This window comes from Homo sapiens, chromosome 6, assembly GCF_000001405.40.
Source record: "Homo sapiens chromosome 6, GRCh38.p14 Primary Assembly".
Lineage (NCBI taxonomy): Eukaryota > Metazoa > Chordata > Mammalia > Primates > Hominidae > Homo > Homo sapiens.
The window spans coordinates 164,687,694-164,711,680 of NC_000006.12; the positions used below are offsets into that span (position 1 = coordinate 164,687,694).

The following is a 23,987-nucleotide window of genomic DNA, read 5'->3' on the forward strand; positions in this document are numbered from 1 at the left end:
TTTTTCATTAGGAATGATCCATTCTGTACCTTCCGGGTGCTGTAACTTTAAAAAAGGCCAGAGAACAGTACCTGTTTTCAGAGTTTTCTGTTTGAAAAGAACACACACACACACACACACACACACAACACACACACACACTCTCTCCATAGATCTAAAGCATCACAAGAGAATATAATTGGATGACAAGACTATTGGCACACAAATTAATTGCTGAAAACTCCATGTATTATTGGATGGTTTGTAAGAAAGACTGGATTAAGTGTGATCATAGTTAGGTCTTAAACATATTTTTAATTGGCAAAATTGACGTTAAACAGAGATTACAGAAAAGGGCATGAAAAACAAAAACTGCTGAATAAATAAGAGGTACAGATATAATCATATGCATGACAGGCTGAGGAAATGGCAAAAACAAAAACAAAAGTGAAAAACAGTCTCTGCTTTAAAAGAAATTAAATGATATAAAATCCGCACATAATGAAGAACCTTTCCCAAAATATTTATAGTATTCTTCTACAGCAGTGGAATAGAGGATGGTTTTCTTCTTCTTTTTCTATATTTCTAAGTATTGTTCTAATGATCTGAATTAATTTCATTTTTCATTCACATGTTTTCTTAATAACATAAGATATTTATGAAGCCAATCTCACTTTTAAGAATTAATATAATATAGATAGTGTAAAATTGTTACTTGAATTTTGACTTCTCATGTCTGAGTTCACTCAGGGTATTTTCCTTTCAGATCTTTTCCATGTATCTAACTTCAATTTTATATTCAGATAAATACATAATTTTGTGTGATCAAAAGTAACTGAGTTCCTTCTATACTTATTATTCTAAAATATCAGTTGTGTTTTTTAACATAATCTCTTAGAAATGTTTTTATAGGTCAGGCGTGATGACTCATTCCTGTAATCCCAGCACTTTGAGAGGCCCTTGCTTTAGCTCAGGAGTTTGAGACCAGCCTGGGCACCATGGTGAAACCCCGTCTCTACTAAAAATACAAAAAATTAGTTGGTGTGGTGGTGTGCACCTGTAGTCCCAGCTACTTAGGAGGCTGAGATGAAAGGATTGCTTGAGCCTGGGAGGTCGAGGCTACAGTGAGTCAGGATTGCACCACTGCACCGCAGCTTGGATGATAGGAATGAGACCCTATCTCAAAAAAAAAAAGTTTTTATGTGTACATTATGAAGAAACTAAAATAATACACATTGCCATATACATTTATTAGCTTTGATTTGAGCAGTCCCTACTCTGCTGCAGGTCTCTTTTGATGCATGTTTAGGCTGCCTTTTACCTTTCAGAAATGGCTTATAATTTGGGGTCTGCTAGTGGTACTTTGTATTCCCTTGTTCATATTTATTCTTCTAAAAATGCCCTTCCCCTTATATCCAGAAATTATGCATGGGAGTGACTTATGGATTCATGAGCTTAGTCATCCACCCTGATCAATCCATTTATTACTTTCTGTGGAAAAAATGAGCTGCTTTCCATAATTTAAAAACGTTACTACCTAGGTGTTATTTTTATAATCTATTTTTCCTCAGGCAGTAAATTCAATCAAATAATGAACACACATGAACAAATGTCAGCTTAAGAAATTAACTAAAGGCAATTAAAAAAAGAATTCAATAATTCAAATTACATTCCAGAGGAGAAGAACAAGACAGGCACACATGATTTTGCCATCAGAGGCTTTTTTTTTTTTTTTTTTTTTTTTGCTTTAGCACTGGGCTTTACTCTTATTCAACTAATCTAGTCAACTTAACACAAGACAAAAGAAAAGCAGATTAGCCACTCTCTCCTGTTTACTTCTCTTGGAAGAGCATTATCTGTGCCTTAATTCTCTACTAAGTATTATTCTTTTTTTTTTTTTTTTTGAGAAGGAGTCTCGCTCTGTGGCCCAGACTGGAGTGCAGTGGTGCAATCTGGGCTCACTGCAAGCTCCGCCTCCCGGGTTTCACACCATTCTCCTGCCTCAGCCTCCCAAGTAGCTGGGACTACAGGCGCCCACCACCACGCCCAGCTAATTTTTTGTATTTTTAGTAGAGACGGGGTTTCACCGTGTTAGCCAGAATGGTCTTGATCTCCTGACCTCATGATCCACCCGCCTCGGCCTCCCAAAATGCTGGGATTACAGGCGTGAGCCACAACTATTATTCTTATTTTGACTATCATTTATCTTCAATTTGTTGTCTCTGTTTTAAATAAATCAAAATTCATTGTAAGAAGACTTTATGTGATTCCCTTTCTCCCTCTATTTAATTGGAATATCTTTGTTTCTCTAGCCCCCTTAAATAAAGTATTTGTATTGGAGGAAAAAAAGATTGTAAGTATATATCTTATATACTTAAGAAGTCAGTATTCTTATAACTCATTACTACGAATAAGGGGGCAGCTCTGGGCTTATGTGATAGTTTGGATTATTATTCAGCAGCTACTCAGTACCTTCTCCCCCAACCTGTGACTGAGAGCAGAGGAGGCTTTCTAGCCGTGTGATGTGGAGCTTGGCATTGCCTCTTGGTTAGGCCAATGGGATATTAGTGGGTGCGAGGTGAGCAAAGGCTTTAAGTAGACTGTGCTGTAAGGTTTTGCTCTGATGCTATAAAGATCTCCTACGGGAATACATACCCCATCGGGTGTATGCATCTTCAGCCTGGGACCAAGAGCAAACACAAGGATGCAATTCCTGAACCGCAGCTGAAGCCACATGTGGGAACCCACAACCTGGAGTAGGGCAACCAGCCAGGCACTTCCCACATCAGCCAAATGGCACTCACTCCTCTTACATATTCATGAATATGAGATGTGCTTCTATTTCTGTCATTAAGCTTTGGAAATGATTTGTTATACGTTATTTTGTGGCAAGTTGATGATTCATACCTTGTGAAGTGCATCAGGTACATTCAACATGTAGACACCTTAAGCAAGTACAAGTCTGTGGAGCAGAAGAGTCACAAATAATGGCCTGAGTTGAGAGACCTCAGAGATGTTCTTATTCTTTTCTTCATTTCCCACTTCTCAGACCTGAAGCAAAAAGAGAAAAGGAAGGGGCAGGCACACGTAACTTGCTCTTGTCCTACTGAGCATTGACAAAGGAAGGAAAAGACCCCAGATCACAAGGCAGGAGAAAACCATCTGAAGTCACAGGCGATAAGAGCAAGACACTCATCACAGAACTGGGATGGCACTGCTGCTCCTGGCGGAGATCCAGCATGAGGCAGCATCCATGCACATTTAATGCCTTCAGCTTCTGTTGTTGAGAAACGATGGAAGACAGAAGTTCATGGCATGCTTCATCTAGCTTAGACATCAGCATTGTCTGTTTGCCCTTCCACATCCTCTCCCATCTTTTCCCATCTGAAAGTGTTGAAGAGCCGATTCTAGGTGTCCATTAGGCTGGACATATGAGAATATGTCTGCTAAAGTGGGAGGTAAGTTGCTACCCTTACACTGACCACCACAAAAGAAGACATGCAGTCACTGGTGGGGCCTCTTCATATTAGTGTTAGATTAGTACATGGATATTTCTAAGAAGTTACTGGAGTAAGTAAAGCTGTTATCATTGCCTAATTCTACATTTTATAATGGGGTCCTTTGTTCATAACAATGAAATCCTTTAAGCAACTATTAAAATCCTTTGAAACAGTGTTCTGAGAGAAGGCTGTGTGGGAAACTACACTGTAATTAAGACTATCAGCATTATAAAGAGAATGCAACATATCTTGCACTTTTTAAAAAATAAAAGCTAAACAAGGGATATCATCTAAGCTATAAAGCCGTGAAACATAATAAAAGAGGAGCTTTTCAGTAGTCTGTGAATGAACATCAGTCAACAGGGTCCAATTGCCCTCTACAGACCACTCTACCAACAACAGTGAGAAACACATTTTTTTTATTATCCATGGAACGGTCAAAAGATAGATCATATTCTGGTTTATAAAGCAAATCTCAACACATTTAAAATAAGTCTCACAGAGTATGTTTTCTAACTGTAATGGAATCAAACTAGAAATCAATAATAGATAGACAACATGAAAAATCTCCAAACACTTGGAAATTAAATGCATACTTCTGAGTACATCATAGGTCACAGGGAGTGTCTCAAAGAAAATAAAGCAATGTATACAAATGAATGAAAATATAACAATCTGTGAATATATTTTTCTCTTTTATTTACTTTAAAAAGTTTATGATTTTATAATTATGACTGGGAAGTCATAATTAAACGGTTGTAAAAATAATAATGATATACATGGCGAACACATGCTATGTGCCTTTGTACTAGAATTTTTATGTATCTTTACTGTTTAATTGCTTAATGTATTTATTATTATAATTATTATAAGTATAATACATTACTATAATGATTATATTATAAATATAAATTATTATATTAGGAATATTATAATATTTATGTATTATTTATAATTTAGCTCTCATGTTGATTTTAGACCCACTTCTCTCTACTTTTATCTGCATACTAGGATATACGCACTATAGCTACTAAAAAAATGTGTTCATATTATCTGCTTGAGTTCAGAAGTTAAATGTGAAAAGGTTGTCATACCTGCATTTTTAGCAATTATTAGTCTAAACGCACTTTTAAGAAGTGGTCTCTTTACTTTTTTTGTTGAATCAGAATAACATCACAAAAAAATGTTACACCGCAAGCCAGGAAGTATGGTACTGTAGCAAAATAAGAGACCACTCTTAGGCCTTACTTATAACACTAGCAAAGATATGTTTATTTTTTTAATAGCTACAAAATAAATTAGTGAAAGAAAAAAGTTTAGAACATGGATTAAGTGTTAAAATAGAACTTTTAGGTAATTTTGTGTATCATATAGCTAACATCTGAGTGTGTCCTGAAATGAACCCAAGATATTATGGTAAATTGTGTTTGAACACCTTAAGTCATAGAAAGCTTACTCCTTGCTAGGGCAGTATATTTTTAGAAGAGTTTGAATTGTTTCAGGGTTCTTCCTTTAAGTAATCTATTTTAATTGAATTTCTATTATACCATTTTGTACTTCCTTAGTATGACTTCCCAGATTTTGGGTAAATCTTAGTAAATCTATGTGCATTTTTTCCACTGATTTCTTTTGTAGATTTTATCACTGGATCTGACTATTGTCCTGTTGCCTATGACCTCAGTCCTGGGCACATCTATTAAGAGCCTCCTGCTTTCCTATCCCTTGGCAATTGCTTCTCTCTGTTGAGACCCCCATTCCATTCACAGGGGACAGAGCCCTGTCTTCATTCCGTTCAGCTGCCCCTCTCACTGCTTGCATGGCTCAGGCCAGCTCTCTGAATGGGCTTGCTGCACTTAGCACACCTAAAAACACAAGAAAAAAAATGCCAGCAGTTCTCATTCAAAACTTTAGAGCTTATTTACTTCTGCTTTCATCTCCTCACGAAGCATGTCACTATGTCCTTCTCATTTTTTTTCAGTCCCAAATCTGCACCAGTTCCATATTTTACATATTATGACCCTTTGATTAGTATTGAATGTCCTCAACTGGAAGTTTCTTTAGAAATCACTTCAAACACAAAACCTATTGGTTAAGAAATAACAATGTAACAGAATAAAGAGTGAACTGTATTTTAAATTGATTCCTGGATCAGTAACAGCTAAGAACCATGGCAGCCTCAAAGAGTCACGAACTTCATGCGGGTAAAGGTGTTCTGAATTAGAATGACTCTTTGCAAAAGGCAAAGAGATAAATTATTCCACTTATTAATTCTGTACACAGAACTTCAGACAGCCCCTAAAGTAAACAAACCAAGTAGCTAGGAGGGAAATACTGAGTGTGAAAGAGTTGATGAGCTAATTACATAATTATTGAAAAATATTACAGTAAACAGTCAGCAAATCTGAAGGGGTTGAACTGTTTATCTGAATGCAACTTCTCATAGGATGTTACCAAAACAATAAAAGAGAGTTAGCACTGCTGTCTCACGAAACTAAATATTTCTTGCTTCATTGCTAGTCTTATTTAAATATATATTTTTGAATAATTTTCAGTCTCTTAGAGTGGAAATATGATATTTCATTGCAATTTGCGGGGAATTTTTTTTTTCAGTTTAAACACAGAAAGCATATTTCTCTTTGACCCATGATCTTAGGTTCACACACACAAAAAGATAAGATGTAGTGCATGATCTGGTTGCTGTGTGTGAATGAGGAGTACTTTTAAAATTAAGTGCATTTTGAATGTTAGACTGACTGCGTTTTCATTAAGGTGAATGCTATGAGCAGGGCTGTTATCCTTTTCGGATGCTAGGCTCACGCATTAAAATCTTACTCACGATGGGGTCTGGCTTCCTTGCTTTCATCAAATTGCTACCTCTCGGCAGGAACCCAGACAACCAGGGTGCCTGCATCACTCTGTGTGGTTTTCTGTAGGAAGCTCCCATAAAGGGTTGCATAATTGTGAATAAGCCTTTTGGAAGAAATGTGAAAGCTCCCATTGTGCTGAAACAAGGAAGGAGGCCAATGTTTGAGAGGAGGTTGCTGTAGTTTTGCCAAATTGTGGAAGGAAAATGCATGAGGCCAATTTTGAAGCCCAGCTGCATCTTTCTAAGTTAAATATATATATGGGTTTCATTTTTTAATTCTAGTTTTGAGTAAAATTACAACTCTATTAAGGTGGTGATTTAAAAGATTCTTTTACAATTGTATAAAATAATGTATCATGATCTATGTAACACACAATAAACACAACCACTTTTTTGCCCAAAGTTCCAATGAAATAAGTCTTTCAATGAATAGACTAAAACCTTTTTGACTGTGTGGATTCCTTGATTAAGTCTAGCAATGACTGCCCATTGTCTGCTCAATTCCATTTACCCACTGTTTTCTTAGCCAATTTTGTATCTACATGAAACCCAGACCTAGGCTTCAGTTAGGTAGTGCCCCGGGTGGTCCATCAGATATGTCAAGCCTATTTCAGTATTGACTGAAAGCTTGGTCTCACATTTTTCTGTGTGATTAGCATATCTTCTCCAACTTTTGTTTCCCATGAGACTGCACCATCTTCTGAGTCGAGGGCCAAACTTTTTTTACAAGGTTCCATCGCTTTCAGACACACGGGGACTGCAGTTCCTCAGCCACTCCGGGTTTGATCCCACCACTGGGTCTTAGCATGTGCTGCTTCCCACATTCACCAACGGGTGCCCCTGGCTGCACAAATCCAGGGGCATCATTCAAATGGAATTGAAGCCTCTGCTCTCCTATTCACTAGTATATGTAACTCCAAAACTCAGTTTCTCGATGTTCTTGAAATGAGATTATAGGACTTGCTTTACTTACTCTATAAGAGGTATATGTGGCTCCTTTGTTGTTAAAGTTCTTTGTAAAGTATTAAATTCTCTACAAGGGGGGTTATTATCATTAAAATGCATTTATTGTCTCTTCAATGAATTAAACCTCACTGATGGGGATGAACCGTGCTTTCTACTCCATTGAATTAATAGAAGTTTAATAGAAACACAAAGCACTGCAGATTGTAGGCACTCAATATATGTTGCCCAAACTAAGGCTTCATCATTTATTATCAGACCAAGGAATAAGTCATCCAGTTAACCAAATAGTTCTCAACCTCATTCACTGTGGAAAACACTAACCAATCCTATTGCCTGAATGCCTGGGATATAACTGGCAACTTTCAGCAAATCTTGAATCCTTCCAAGGCTCTTAGCTACAAACCCTGTCCTCAATAAACACAAAAACTACTTAGAGAGACAAGCATACAAAAGTGATTCATACAATAGTAGAGTTATATACAGAGACCTCCTTGCAAGATTGGTATTCAGCAATCAATGTGATTGTACTGGTTGTTAAAAATGTTGACTATGACACATTGCAGTGTGAACACACATGGCCGAGACACGGGAATCCCAGAAGCCTAGTAAGAGTAAAGACCAAGTGTCTTAAGCCTTCAAGACAGAAAGAATTATCCAAGAAACACTGGCGGCTCACAGATGCTATCTGAGAGTTGAAGGCAATATGCAATTGTAGCAGCCCTTGAAAATCTTTTAAAGTAAACAAACCATGCTTACGAATAATACATGACTGTTTGGCTGAATGCCTAGTGATTGCAGAACGTCTTTGAGGATAGCAGGTTAAGAGTCTGCATTTATTAAAAAATACAATAACAATAATAACAGTAATGAATCTTAACTCTTGTTTTTCCATCTTGTCTTTGCTTCAGAAATGCAGAATTGCTCACATGTTCTAATTATTGAAAAATAAAAACAGAAAATGGACAGTCTTCTAAAATTGCACACAAGAGTTTTAGGCTCAAATCCTTTCCCTGGTACACTAGCAAGGTTCTTGGGCTTGATGCCTCTAAGCTTCCCTACCTCCCACTTCCTCTTTGCTAAGGACGGAAATGCCTTTCTAAAACCGGATGTTTTGACTCAGGTCTCCCTCTTTCTCCTGAGGGTCAACTGTAAGAACTCGGATGTCACTCATGACTCTACTTTTCATGACGCCTCCCAACCCCTTGTTCCTCTTTTACTGATCATTGCTTTTTATTTGCACTTTATTCATTTTATAACACTTTGTAGCTTTCACAGGCATTTTGCAGTCATTATTTCTTAAGAGCTTGCATCAACCCTGCAAAATGGGCTGGATAAATAAAACAGGTGAGAAAATTCCCTTACAGAACAATTATGTAACTTGCCTGGCAATTCACCAGGCTTCTTCTACGATACACGTTTTCTCATTTTTAAGATTGCTGGTTCTCAGTATTATTCTTTCTGTTCAAATTCTCTCGCATCCTCACTTCATCTTGCTATCAACTTCTCTAGCCTGATGTCAGCTGATGACTTTCTTTCCTTTATGGAGAATAAGTACTCGTATAACAGCCACCTACTTTTTAACCAACACAACTACAAAAACAGTTGCCTGCATGTGCATCTTTTCCTTAGTTCTTCCTGTTGGGACACTCACCTTTTTATTGAAGGAGGAACCCCCCAACTTCATCCCCATAACTTGTGTTCTCCAAGGCTTTTGCCCTTGAAGCCATGGCCACATCCTTAGATGCTCAGGAGTTAAATATTGAGAAACCGAGGAGGAAGCCATCCCTAAGAGGTTAAAATCTTAAGCGGAGCTTTTGACATCCTCACAGAAATAAAGAAACAAATATTGGAGTTTGGAATCATTGGAAGAGGAAGGGCCCTGTAAACACCTTCAACTTTCTGTTGAGACCTCTGAATGGCATTTTCCTCTTAGTAAAAGCCGAGTAAAAATACACCAGCATAACACAGCATGAGATTCAGACTCCAAACTGAGACTCAGTCTCAGTTCCTGCCAGCAGAAAGAAAATTGAATCTAATACCAAAGAAAATAACAGTATTATAAGATATAGGAAAGGAAGAAAAAAGGAAACTATTATTTGCATGTGAAATAATTGTGTGCATAGAATTTTTTTAAATGCAGATAAATTCACAATAATTCATGTGTGAATTGAACAATGTTACCGGATTCAAGTTCAATATAATAATCAGTGACAGCTTTTATAGTAGAAATAAATAAATATATTTTTATGTAATAAAATATATCAATTAAAATAAATAAATATAAAGTTTTGAAAATTATTAAACATTATCAGCTGCATCACAAAAATTTACCATATCACAGTGAATCTACAGATGTTGAGCATGCATTTTGCTCTAAAATTTACAAAATGTTATCAGAATAGTTGAGGAAGACAAATAAATGAAATGATATATGGTTTCAATGGATTGAAAGGTTTAATGTTGTAAAAATGTAATTGAACTTAATCTGTTGTTTCAAGGAAATCCTAAACAAAATTCTGGCAGATTTTTGTTTTGGAAAAGTATGGAAATGTACAAGTTGTTTTAAACATTTTTATGGCAATACAAAAGTCCAAGATAAGAAGAGTAAAGTGAGAGTCTTATACTGGGAGAGATCAAGACTGACTTACACAGCTACAGTCATTAACAGAGTAACATATTGTCATATGGATAGACAATTAGAACAGGGGAACAGAAGGTCTGAAACAGTCACGCATTTATGTGGTCAGCTGATTTATACCAAAGGTGCAAACTAGAAGTAGGTAGAAAAACCAGCCTTTTCAGTAAAGTTTCGAGAAGATCCTTCACACACACACAGAGAGAGAGAGAGAGAGAGAGAGAGAGACGATATGCAAATGAACAGTCAACATATAAAAATATACTCAACTTTATTATAAACAAGGGGATGCAATTTAAAACTCTCATAGGATATCCCTATATAACCAATAGAGTAGCTAAAATGGGAAAAGACAGATACTACCAAATTTAGCAAAGATATGAATTAGTTGGAATCATCATATATTTGGTTGGAATATAAAATGGTACAACCACTTAGAAAATAAAGTTTGGCAGTATCTATTAAAGAAGAACATATGCAAATTTTTTACCACCAATTTCACACCTGGATATTTACTCAAGAAAAATGAGGACATTTTCTACAAAAAAGATGTTACAGAATATTTAAGCATTTGTATTGATACTAAAATAAAACCAGAAATAACCTAATGACTATCAAATTAGAATACACAAAGAAAATGTGTTTTATGGAAAAAAATTGAACACTACATAGCAATAAAAGTGAGTAGACGGTTGTACTGGATGACAAGAAATAGTTATAAATAGAAAACTGAGTAAAGGAAGTCTTGCATATATGAGCACGTGCTGTATGATTTCACTTATATCAAGTTCAATAATATGCAAAGCAAAGTAACGGTGATAGAAATCTGCAAGTTTCTTTCTTTTGAAAGGGATAAAGACTAGGAGGAAACTGGGGATGTGTTTCTAAGTTTCTTGTACTGGTGCATGTCTTGAAAAGGAAGGGAGGTTTCACAAGAGTTAGGCAATATCTACCTGTACACATTATTTGTGCATTTTTTCTGTATGTATATTATGCTTCCATAAAAAAATCACTTAAAGGCACATGGTCCATTATCTCTCACTGAAAAAACAAAATCACCCATCATTTCTCAAGCCCTCTTGACACTGCATCGCTTATCCATTTTTCTGTACAGCCAGACTTCTGGAAAGGGTACAAATGCACTTGCCTCTCACTTTCCCAACTCTACTTTGCTCTTCAATTTATATATTTATTCTCCCAGATTCCACAAAATGTTCTTTATAAGGACACAAATGAACAGGCCATGATTCCAGTTCAAATAGACACTGTTCTGTTCTCATCTTCGCCATGTCTCAGCAGCATTCAGAACTTCATAACTCTCCTGCTTTCTCAAAACCTTCCTTCTTTGACATGGGTGAGAGCTTTATCCTAGTTTTCTTCTCAAGCTTTCAGATTCCTGATTCACATCCTTCTTTATTGGCTTCTTCTTTGGATAATTTTTAAATGTTGGAGTTCATCAAACCTGTTTTTCAAAGTTTATCACCCCTCCAATTTCAACCAGCAACTTCATAGATTTCTAAGTGGGTTTACCAATTATGAGAACAATGTTTTGTTTTCCAATGTGAAGTGCATTTTCTTTTCTGTCCTTTTCTTTCTTTCTCTTTTTTTTTTTTTTTTTTTTTTTGACGGAGTTCGCTCTTGTTACCCAGGCTGGAGTGCAATGATGCAATCTCAGCTCACGGCCACCTCTCCCTCCCAGGTTAAAGCGATGCTTCTGCCTCAGCCTCCACAGTAGCTGGGATTACAGGCACATGCCACCATGCCTGGCTAATTTTTTTGTATTTTTAGTAGAGACAGGGTTCCACCATGTTGGCCAGGCTGGTTTCAAACTCCCAACCTCAGGTGATCCACCCACCTCAGCCTCCCAAAGTGCTGGGATTGCAGGCGTGAGCCACCGGGCCCAGCTCGTGCATTTTCATTTAATATTATTGTTGTTTCCTTTTTCAACTCACTATCTGCTTTATATTTGTCTTATCTGTTCTGTTTTTCTGTATTCCTCCTTCCTAATCTTCTCTTGGGATAATCAAGTATTTTTAATCATAATCTTTTCTATTAGTGATGTTTCATAATTTTTTCGCTTTATTATTTTAATTGTAAGTCTACATATTAAAATCTACCCTTTATTAGATTACTTAATAAAATAATGCTTTTTCTATGTCCAGAATCATGCAAGAATCTTACAGGAGTTTAGATCTTTTACCTCCTATGCATCTTCATGTTAACGTTGCCATGTGTTTTATTTCTTCCACACCTGTTGTAAATTTCAATAGATATAGTTATTATTTTTGGTTTAAACAGTAATTATATTTTAATATTTATTCACTAATGTATCTTTTCCCATGTTTATTTCTTCCTGAATTCTATCTTTGTTGTTCAGCAATTTGACCGTGGTGTACCTAAGTGTAGTTTTGTTCATATTTACTCTGCTTGGGTTTAGCTAAAAATATTGAGTATCTGCATTGATATATTTCATCAATATTTGAAAATTCTCAATTATTACATATTCAGTTATTTACTTTTGTTTCACTCTCCAACAGGAAGTTCAAAGCCTCCAATTATATATATATGACCATCTGACCATAGTCTACTCATTTATTACAGTTTTCTTAACTCATTTGTTTTATTGATACTATAATAAGTATATTTTCCATTGATATGTCTTTTGGCTTACTAATTTTATTCAATATTGTGTCTAGGCTGCTGTTAAAATCATTCAATGAGCTCCTAATTCTGTCTATTTCATTATTTTGTTATAGAGCATTTTTTATTCTTTTTTATAGATTCCAATTTTCCATTAAATTTTCCATTTTTACCCTATTTTAAATTTTTTCTATATATTTTAACAAATTTATATTTATTATCTAAAAAGTCATTGCCTAAGTCAGCTGTGGGGTGGCTTTCATTATTGATTTTTTGCTTGATTACATGTTATGTTTTCCTTCCTCTTTTAATTTCCTGTCATTATTTTGTTGGACCTTGCTTTTTTCTTTTATATATTTTTACAGTTTTCTTGAGGTGCAATTTGCTTACAATACGATTCAACCACAAATTATACAATTCAGCATTTTTTAGTACATTCATAAAATTGTGCAACCATCAAAACAACAAATTTTAGAACAATTTTAGCACTCCAGAAAGAAATCCTGTACTCTTTAGCTGTGACCAGCTCAGTCCCCTCATTCCCCCAATCCCCAATCCAAAGCAACAACTAATCTGTCTGCTTCTTGTCTCTATACATTTGCCAATTCTGGACCTTTAATTCAAATGGAAAAATAGACCATGTGGCCTTTGTGTCTGGCTTTTTACTTAGCATAAATTTTCAATGTTCTTCCACATTATAGCATGAATTAGTACTTAATTCTTTTTTACAGTCAAATAATATTTCACATTGTCTAGATATACTCCATTTTGTTTAACCACTCATCAGTTGATAGAGCAATATGATAATTTTGCAATCTTTGACTTTGAGCGTTTATGTTTTCTGTCCTTATGGGAAGAATACCATATTAAGTTGGCAAAGATCCTTTGGGTAATGCACTGGACTTGAGGACCAATGTAAAATTATAAGTAAGAAATAGATATTAAGTTCTTCCAAGCTGGACTTACAACAAATAATCAGGTCCTAATACATTTGTTATACCATTCAGAGGAAGTTTTTAAAAATTAGCTCTTTTTCAAAGTACTAAATAAAAAAATGTGTTGCATTTGAATCAGTCTTTTCAAAACAACAAGAATATTATTCCACAAACATATATGGAGCACTTATTTTGTCAGAGTCAGTGACCTTCAGGACTTTAATTTAAAAAAACAACTAACAGTCACAGAAGACCCATGAAAACAAAAGACAAACAATGGGAGGGATAATACATGAAGCACAAATGGTCAGTTTTTATGGGCAGACTGAAGGCCAGGTAGGTCAGAAGAATAAACTAGCTGGGTGTGCCATAAGCCTGCCCGGAGGCAAGCTTGCCTCAGTTCCACCAACTGCAGACTGGACTTTCAAGTCAACATTTGAACGACCCCTCTTTTCTCAGAAGAGTCTGCCACAGTTCCAATGTCGGGCTCTCCATCTGTGCCACTGGTGGACTGAGGCCATTCTGGAATCAGCCGATCTGGGGGTCCCTGTTTTCCTCGCTGTAAACAAAATGATGAGTTGGACTCAATATTCTGCAGCTTCTCCCAAAAGGCAGAGAATAGAACAGGAAGACTTCAGTATCTGGCATTTCTTAGACGTTTTGAATCGACACAAGTTGTATATATTTATCAAGTACAGCATGATGTTTTAAAATATGCATACACTGTAAAATGGCTTGGTTGAGCAAATTAGCCTATGAATCCCCTCATATGCTTATCATTTATTGTGGTGGGACAACCGTGTTTTTAAAACCTGTGGAGAAGGAAGTCAATGTTATTTCTCTGCAGATGTGGTTTTCCAATTCATTTATTAGGCAAATAGGATAAGAGGGTGATTAACTCAATACCATCATGAATTTCGGCATGTCCAGTTTGGATTTTAGCTTTAGTTAGTTTCAGCCACTTTTTGTTTCGAATGTTTTGAGGTTGAGTTTCTCTCTCGAGACTTTGTTTCCTACACACTGTGAACCTACAGGTGATTCAGTCTGTCTTTCCAGTCCATTCCTCCAGGTTCCTATGCCTCAGCACCCATAAGATATTACATGTTTTTTTAAAAAAGGACACACATTTGAAGTTCCTCCAATCTCAAACTATTAGGTTAGTCCAGGTAGCTTTTAAGACTTGGTTGCTCTTTTAAGTGGTCTTCTGTGCATGGCAAGCCTAATTCAACAAATTCTCTGAAAGACAATTGGTTTCCAATGATTTCATTCTACTTAAAAGAACACTTTTCTACCTAGAATTATAGTTCTTCTAGTCCTTTTGGCTTCTTTAGATTCCACATACATTTTAAAATAAATTTTAAACTGTGTTAGTTGTTCCAGTTACTGTAGCAAGAGTGATCACTTGCCTCTACCTACAATATCCTATAACCAAGAAAGCTCTATTGCCATTTATTTAATTTTATGCTAAAATATTCCTTAAAATGTTGTTTGTCTCTTTATCTCTCCCTCTTCCTTTTATTTTATTTTATTTATTTTATTTTATTATTATTATACTTTAAGTTTTAGGGTACATGTGCACAATGTGCAGGTTAGTTACATATGTATACATGTGACATGCTGGTGTGCTGCACCCATTAACTCGTCATTTAGCATTAGGTATATCTCCCAATGCTATCCCTCCCCCCTCCCCCCACCCCACCACAGTCCCCAGAGTGTGATATTCCCCTTCCTGTGTCCATGTGATCTCATTGTTCAATTCCCACCTATGAGTGAGAATATGCGGTGTTTGGTTTTTTGTTCTTGCGATAGTTTACTGAGAATGATGATTTCTAATTTCATCCATGTCCCTACAAAGGACATGAACTCATCATTTTTTATGGCTGCATAGTATTCCATGGTGTATATGTGCCACATTTTCTTAATCCAGTCTATCATTGTTGGACATTTGGGTTGGTTCCAAGTCTTTGCTATTGCGAATAGTGCCGCAATAAACATATGTGTGCATGTGTCTTTATAGCAGCATGATTTATAGTCCTTTGGGTATATACCCAGTAATGGGATGGCTGGGTCAAATGGTATTTCTAGTCCTACATCCCTGAGGAATTGCCACACTGACTTCCACAAGGGTTGAACTAGTTTATAGTCCCACCAACAGTGTAAAAGTGTTCCTATTTCTCCACATCCTCTCCAGCACCTGTTGTTTCCTGACTTTTTAATGATTGCCATTCTAACTGGTGTGAGATGGTATCTCATTGTGGTTTTGATTTCCATTTCTCTGATAGCCAGTGATGGTGAGCATTTTTTCATGTGTTTTTTGGCTGCATAGATGTCTTCTTTTGAGAAGTGTCTGTTCGTGTCCTTCACCCACTTTTTGATGGGGTTGTTTGTTTTTTTCTTGTAAATTTGTTTGAGTTCATTGTAGATTCTGGATATTAGCCCGTTGTCAGATGAGTAGGTTGCAAAAATTTTCTCCCATTTTGTAGGTTGCCTGTTCACTCTGATGGTAGTTTCTTTTGCTGTGCAGAAGCTCTTTAGTTTAACTACATCCCATTTGTCAATTTTGGTTTTTGTTGTCATTGCTTTTGGTGTTTTAGACTTGAAGTCCTTGCCCATGCCTATGTCCTGAATGGTAATGCCTAGGTTTTCTTCTAGGGTTTTTATGGTTTTAGGTCTAACGTTTAAGTCTTTAATCCATCTTGGATTAATTTTTGTATAAGGTGTAAGGAAGGGATCCAGTTTCAGCTTTCTCCATAAGGCTAGCCAGTTTTCCAAGCACCATTTATTAAATAGGGAATCCTTTCCCCATTGCTTGTTTTTCTCAGGTTTGTCAAAGATCAGATAGTTGTAGATATGCGGCGTTATTTCTGAGGGCTCTGTTCTGTTCCATTGATCTATAACTCTGTTTTGGTACCAGTACCATGCTGTTTTGGTTACTGTAGCCTTGTAGTATAGTTTGAAGTCAGGTAGCATGATGCCTCCAGCTTTGTTCTTTTGGCTTAGGATTGACTTGGCAATGCGGGCTCTTTTTTTGTTCCATATGAACTTTAAAGTAGTGTTTTCCAATTCTGTGAAGAAAGTCATTGGTAGCTTGATGGGGATGGCATTGAATCTATAAGTTACCTTGGGCAGTATGGCCATTTTCACGATATTGATTCTTCCTACCCATGAGCATGGAATGTTCTTCCATTTGTTTGTATCCTCTTTTATTTCATTGAGCAGTGGTTTGTAGTTCTCCTTGAAGAGGTCCTTCACATCCCTTGTAAGTTGGATTCCTAGGTATTTTATTCTCTTTGAAGCAATTGTGAATGGGAGTTCACTCATGATTTGGCTCTCTGTTTGTCTGCTATTGGCATATAAGAATGCTTGTGATTTTTGTACATTGATTTTGTATCCTGAGACTTTGCTGAAGCTGCTTATCAGCTTAAGGAGATTTTGGGCTAAGACAATGGGGTTTTCTAGATATACAATCATGTCATCTGCAAACAGGGACAATTTGACTTCCTCTTTTCCTAATTGAATACCCTTTATTTCTTTCTCCTGCCTAATTGCCCTGGCCAGAACTTCCAACACTATGTTGAATAGGAGTGGTGAGAGAGGGCATCCCTGTCTTGTGCCAGTTTTCAAAGGGAATGCTTCCAGTTTTTGCCCATTCAGTATGATATTGGCTGTGGGTTTGTCATAGATAGCCCTTATTATTTTGAGATATGTCCCATCAATACCTAATTTATTGAGAGTTTTTAGCATGAAGGGTTGTTGAATTTTGTCAAAGGCCTTTTCTGCATCTATTGAGATAATCATGTGGTTTTTGTCTTTGATTCTGTTTATATGCTGGATTACATTTATGGAATTGTGTATATTGAAACAGCCTTGCACCCCAGGGATGAAGCCCACTTGATCATGGTGGATAAGCTTTTTGTTGTGCTGCTGGATTTGATTTGCCAGTATTTTATTGAGGATTTTTGCATCAATGTTCATCAAGTATATTGGTCTAAAATTCTCTTTTTTGGTTGTGTCTCTGCCTGGCTTTGGTATCAGGATGATGCTGGTCTCATAAAATGAGTTAGGGAGGATTCCCTCTTTTTCTATTGATTGGAATAGCTTCAGAAGGAATGGTACCAATTTCTCCTTCTACCTCTGGTAGAATTCGGCTGAGAATCCATCTGGTCCTGGACTCTTTTTGGTTGGTAAGCTATTGATTGTTGCCACAATTTCAGAGCCCGTTATTGGTCTATTCAGAGATTCAACTTCTTCCTGGTTTAGTCTTCGGAGGGTGTATGTGTCAAGGAATTTATCCATTTCTTCTAGATTTTCTAGTTTATTTGTGTAGAGGTGTTTGTAGCATTCTCTGATGGTACTTTGTATTTCTGTGGGATCGGTGGTGATATCCCCTTTATCATTTTTTATTGCATCTATTTGATTCTTCTCTCTTTTCTTCTTTATTAATCTTGCTAGCAGTCTATCAATTTTGTTGATCCCTTCAAAAAACCAGCTCCTGGATTCATTAATTTTTTGAAGGGTTTTTTGTGTCTCTATTTCCTTCGTTCTGCTCTGATTTTAGTTATTTCTTGCCTTCTGCTAGCTTTTGAATGTGTTTGCTCTTGCTTTTCTAGTTCTTTTAATTGTGATGTTAGGGTGTCAATTTTGGATCTTTCCTGCTTTCTCTCGTGGTCATTTAGTGCTATAAATTTCCCTCTACACACGGCTTTGAATGTGTCCCAGAGATTCTGGTATGTTGTGTCTTTGTTCTCATTGGTTTCAAAGAACATCTTTATTTCTGCCTTCATTTCGTTATGTACCCAGTAGTCATTCAGGAGCAGGTTGTTCAGTTGCCATGTAGTTGAGCGGTTTTGAGTGAGTTTCTTAATTCTGAGTTCTAGTTTGATTGCACTGTGGTCTGACAGACAGTTTGTTATAATTTCTGATCTTTTACATTTGCTGAGGAGAGCTTTACTTCCAACTATGTGGTCAATTTTGGAATAGGTGTGGTGTGGTGCTGAAAAAAATGTATATTCTGTTGATTTGGGGTGGAGAGTTCTGTAGATGTCCGTTAGGTCTGCTTGGTGCAGAGCTGAGTTCAATTCCTGGGTATCCTTGTTAACTTTCTGTCTCATTGATCTGTCTAATGTTGACAGTGGGGTGTTAAAGTCTTCCATTATTATTGTGTGGGAGTCTAAGTCTCTTTGTAGGTCACTCAGGACTTGCTTTATGAATCTGGGTGCTCCTGTATTGGGTGCATATATATTTAGGATAGTTAGCTCTTCTTGTTGAATTGATCCCTTTACCATTATGTAATGGCCTTCTTTGTCTCTTTTGATCTTTGTTGGCTTAAAGTCTGTTTTATCAGAGACTAGGATTGCAACCCCTGCCTTTTTTTGTTCTCCATTTGCTTGGTAGATCTTCCTCCATCCTTTTATTTTGAGCCTATGTGTGTCTCTGCATGTGAGATGGGTTTCCTGAATACAGCATACTGATGGGTCTTGACTCTTTATCCAATTTGCCAGTCTGTGTCTTTTAATTGTAGCATTTAGTCCATTTACATTTAAAGTTAATATTTTTATGTGTGAATTTGATCCTGTCATTATGATGTTAGCTGGTGATTTTGCTCGTTAGTTGATGCAGTTTCTTCCTGGCCTTGATGGTCTTTACAATTTGGCATGATTTTGCAGTGGCTGGTACCAGTTGTTCCTTTCCATGTTTAGTGCTTCCTTCAGGAGCTCTTTTAGGGCAGGCCTGGTGGTGACAAAATCTCTCAGCATTTGCTTGTCTGTAAAGGATTTTATTTCTCCTTCACTTGTGAAGCTTAATTTGGCTGGATATGAAATTCTGGGTTGAAAATTCTTTTCTTTAAGAATGTTGAATATTGGCCCCCACTCTCTTCTGGCTTGTAGAGTTTCTGCCAAGAGATCCGCTGTTAGTCTGATGGACTTCCCTTTGTGAGTAACCCGACCTTTCTCTCTGGCTGCCCTTAACATTTTTTCCTTCATTTCAACTTTGGTGAATCTGACAATTATGTGTCTTGGAGTTGCTCTTCTCAAGGAGTATCTTTGTGGCATTCTCTGTATTTCCTGAATCTGAATGTTGGCCTGCCTTGCTAGATTGGGGAAGTTCTCCTGGATAATATCCTGCAGAGTGTTTTCCAACTTGGTTCCATTCTCCCTGTCACTGTCAGGTACACCAATCAGACATAGATTTGGTCTTTTCACACAGTCCCATATTTCTTGGAGGCTTTGTTCATTTCTTTTTATTCTTTTTTCTCTAAACTTCCTTTCTCGCTTCATTTCATTCACTTCATCTTCCATCACTGATACCCTTTCTTCCAGTTGATCGCATCGGCTCCTGAGGCTTCTGCATTCTTCACATAGTTCTCGAACCTTGGCTTTCAGCTCCATCAGCTCCTTTAAGCACTTTTCTGTATTGGTTATTCTACTTATACATTCGTCTAAATTTTTTTCAAAGTTTTCAACTTCTTTCCCTTTGGTTTGAATTTCCTCCTGTAGCTCGGAGTAGTTTGATCATCTGAAGCCTTCTTCTCTCAACTCCTCAAAGTCATTCTCCATCCAGCTTTGTTCTGTTGCTGGTGAGGAGCTGCATTCCTTTGGAGGAGGAGAGGTGCTCTGCTTTTTAGAGTTTCCAGTTTTTCTGCTCTGTTTTTTCCCCATCTTTGTGGTTTTATCTACTTTTGGTCTTTGATGATGGTGATGTACAGATGGGTTTTTGGTGTGGATGTCCTTTCTGTTTGTTAGTTTTCCTTCTGACAGGACCCTGAGCTGCAGGTCTGTCGGGGTTTGCTAGAGGTCCACTCCAGACCCTGTTTGCCTGGGTAACAGCAGCCATGGCTGCAGAACAGCAGATTTTCGTGAACCGCGAATGCTGCTGTCTGATCGTTCCTCTGGAAGTTTTGTCTCAGAGGAGTACCCAGCCGTGTGAGGTGTTAGTCTGCCCCTACTGGGGGGTGCCTCCTAGTTAGGCTGCTCGGGGGTCAGGGGTCAGGGACCCACTTGAGGAGGCAGTCTGCCAGCTCTCAGATCTCCAGCTGCGTGCTGGGAGAACCACTGCTCTCTTCAAAGCTGTCAGACAGGGACATTTAAGTCTGCAGAAGTTACTGCTGTCTTTTTGTTTGTCTGTGCCCTGCCCCCAGAGGTGGAGCCTACAGAGGCAGGCAGGCCTCCTTGAGCTGTGGTGGGCTCCACCCAGTTTGAACTTCACAGCTGCTTTGTTTACCTAAGCAAGCCTGGGCAATGGCAGGCGCCCCTCCCCCAGCCTCGCTGCCGCCTTGCAGTTTGATCTCAGACTGCTGTGCTAGCAATCAGCGAGACTCCGTGGGCATAGGACCTTCGGAGCCATGTGTGGGATATAATCTCCTGGTGCGCCGTTTTTTAAGCCCGTTGGAACAGCACAGTATTGGGGTGGGAGTGACTCGATTTTCCAGGTGCCCTCTGTCACCCCTTTCTTTGACTAGGAAAGGGAACTCCCTGACCCCTTGCACTTCCCGAGTGAGGCAATGCCTCTCCCTGCTTCGGTTCGCACATGGTGTGCTGCACCCACTGTCCTGTGCCCACTGTCTGGCACTCCCTAGTGAGATGAACCCGGTACCTCAGATGGAAATGCAGAAATCACCTGTCTTCTGTGTCGCTCACGCTGGGAGCTATAGACCGGAGCTGTTCCTATTTGGCCATCTTGGCTCCCGATCTCTCTCTTCCTTTCTTATATGATGGGGAAAAAAAGGTTTTCCCATCATTACAAGTGTATGTAAAATTTTCAAAAGATTTTGAAATATTTAAGCCAAATTTTAATTTGTTTTGATTTTGAATAGTAAATACATTTTGTTTAGAAGTAATGTGATTTTTTGGAACTCAAGGTAGGTAATTTTCTGTTAAATTTTAATAATTTCTAGGAAAATTACTTTAATAAATTTTTCCTCAGAGTAATACAAGTCATAAGTAAGAAATATAATTTCAAACAAATAAATATATTACAATGTTGTAAATGAGGGTGTAATACAATTTTAACAGATAATTTAATTCGTATGTTTGACATCTACTTTAATATTCAATCATAACAAACATTATGTGTAATAATATAACCCAATTCATCCACTAGGTATGTGATTTTTATTAGCTGTATCTGAATATAATTGGAAAATTGAACTGTTTGTGCTATGAAAAAAAAATGTTATTGTGATTCTTGAGTCCATAGTTTGAGTGGGGAAAGAGAGGACTATAACTGAATAACACATGAAGACCCAAATAAGTAATCTTCTTTAACATTGATTTGCTTCTACATTCCACATTTATTCTGAAGCTATTTCCTCATTTTATCATTTGCTATATAATTACCAAAGCTAGTGTTTGAATCTTTCCTTATCTGAAAATACCATTTGGGGAAGAAAATAAGTGAAGCCTTTTTCCAAATACCTGTTATCTCACCCAGCTCCAAATCATAGTCTTTCCTCTTCCTTAAGAGCATCCAATATTCTGCAATAAGAACCACTGTTAGCATCGCCCTTGTTTGTCTTTGTTCTGCCTCGATAGATGAATAAATCAGGTCAGACAACTTGTATGGGCACCAGGGACAGCCAGAGGGTGAATGAGACAAGTGATGGCATGTCCTTGCTTTGTGAAGACCCCTCATCAAATGACAACAAGATTCCTAGGGCCAGTGTGGGACCTTATGCCAGCAGGAAGGATGAACACGTTGAATAACTGGCCACACTGACAGTGAGGGAGGGCATCTCATCACCTCCAGCCTGTCCCTGGCAGCACCATCAGGTTTGTCTTTAGAGCCTTCTCTCCCTGCTCCTCATCTATCATCTTTACCCCTTCCACATTCTCCTGCCTTTGTAATATGTGTGGAGAAACTACTTATCAAATACCTCACAGCAAACTGTTGAAACAGAAGAGTTCCCTGATTCTCCTTGCAGAGTATGCGACAAGGGTGTCCCCAGCTTGGTCGCCCAACAGCTCAAACTCCTAGGGGGAGCATGCAGACAGGCAGGTGCAGAGGCCGGCAAGAGCGCTTTTGGGCTCTGGTCCCAGGACAGCATCTAGGAGAGGTTGTCTGCGACTCTTGAAGCCTAAGTGGGTGTGTGTTATCAAGCTCTTTTAGATTTGCCATCTGCAAACGGCTCATGTGTTAATCAGCTCAATGAACCCTCTGCCTTATCGCAAAGGCAGGGGCCAGTGTGACAGCCTTCTGCATCCCAAGTCCTTGTCCAGTGTACGGGAAGAATCAGATCACATGTGGGCTTGAAAGATGAGTGCAAGGTTTTACTGAGTGGTGGGTGTGGCTCTCAGGGAGATGGATGGGGAGCCGGAAGTGGGGGATGGAGTGCTGAGTGGTGGGGGTGGCTCTCAGGGAGATGGATGGGGAGCCAGAAGTGGGGGATGGAGTGCTGAGTGGTGGGGGTGGCTCTCAGTGAGGTGGATGGGGAGCTGGAAGTGGGGGATGGAGTGGGAAGGTGGTCTTCCCCTGGAATGGGGCCACTCGGCAGCTGGACTCTTTCCTGACCACCCCTGGCTGAACTCCGCTTGGCGTCCAGACGTCCTTCCTCTTCTCTCTTTCTCTGCCTTGTTCTGCATCACTGGTCTGCTGGTCCCGATGTTTAGCTGCTTGTGTGAGTGCCCGCTAAGGTCTCAATTTTACATGGGGGCAGGATAGGGGGTGTGGCGAGTCAAAAGGCAACTTTTTGAGCATGAAAATAGAAATCCTTCTCCTCATTTAGGGCCGGGGTCTTCAGGCTTGAGGGTGGGGCCTTTGCCAGGGTACAGCCCTATTCTACCCAGTATCTCCCTGTCTCCTGTCCGTATCACTGTGATGTGTATGTGCAAATTTAATCTACTGCATAGAACCACTGGTCAAGGTTTAAAAATACTCTAATCAGAAATCAGCCCCATCAGAGGTGGTAGCATTTAAAACTCACTGTAAAAAAGAATTGTAATTATTAATAACGTTTGAAATTAATTTTATTGGAGAAATGGTAATATTAAAGTTGAGCAAGAGTTCATGAATTTTATCTCAATTCAATACATGGCTAAGATTTAAGCATCCAGCAAACAGAGCAATGTAAAGCCATGGCACAGGGCTCAAATCCAGGCCCGCAATACTCGCCCCTCTCACTTCGCAAGTGACTCTGTCTTCTAATCCAAGAAAAGGTCATGCATAGTGATAACTGGAGTCACATAGGTCAGAAAGTGGGACTTAACATGCTATTTGAGCCCTTTTTAACTTGCTTGATAATAATGTTTTTATATCTTCTGTTTTTCCAAAGTTTATTGAAAGTCTGATTTTACAGTGAGTATAATATGACAAAAGAATATTTGAGTGTGTTATGAAAAATCAAGAAAAGATCATTTGGATACATTCTGAGAAGTTGCATTGTAGTGGGAATTATTAAGATATTATATTTCTTCTCAGTAAATAACTGGAACATTGAAAGAAAAGGTGTTCTGATCACTACTTAGAAAGTT

The 23,987-nt window shown here is 38.0% G+C and overlaps 1 annotated feature.

The window, feature by feature from the left end:
• Window positions 20,285-20,829: an enhancer, noted in NCBI's record as "H3K27ac-H3K4me1 hESC enhancer chr6:165129011-165129555 (GRCh37/hg19 assembly coordinates)". NCBI's record gives its function as "activates a minimal SCP1, AML or CMV promoter by ChIP-STARR-seq in primed H9 embryonic stem cells {active_cell/tissue: H9 hESC(primed)}" and the evidence as "EXISTENCE:reporter gene assay evidence [ECO:0000049][PMID:30033119]".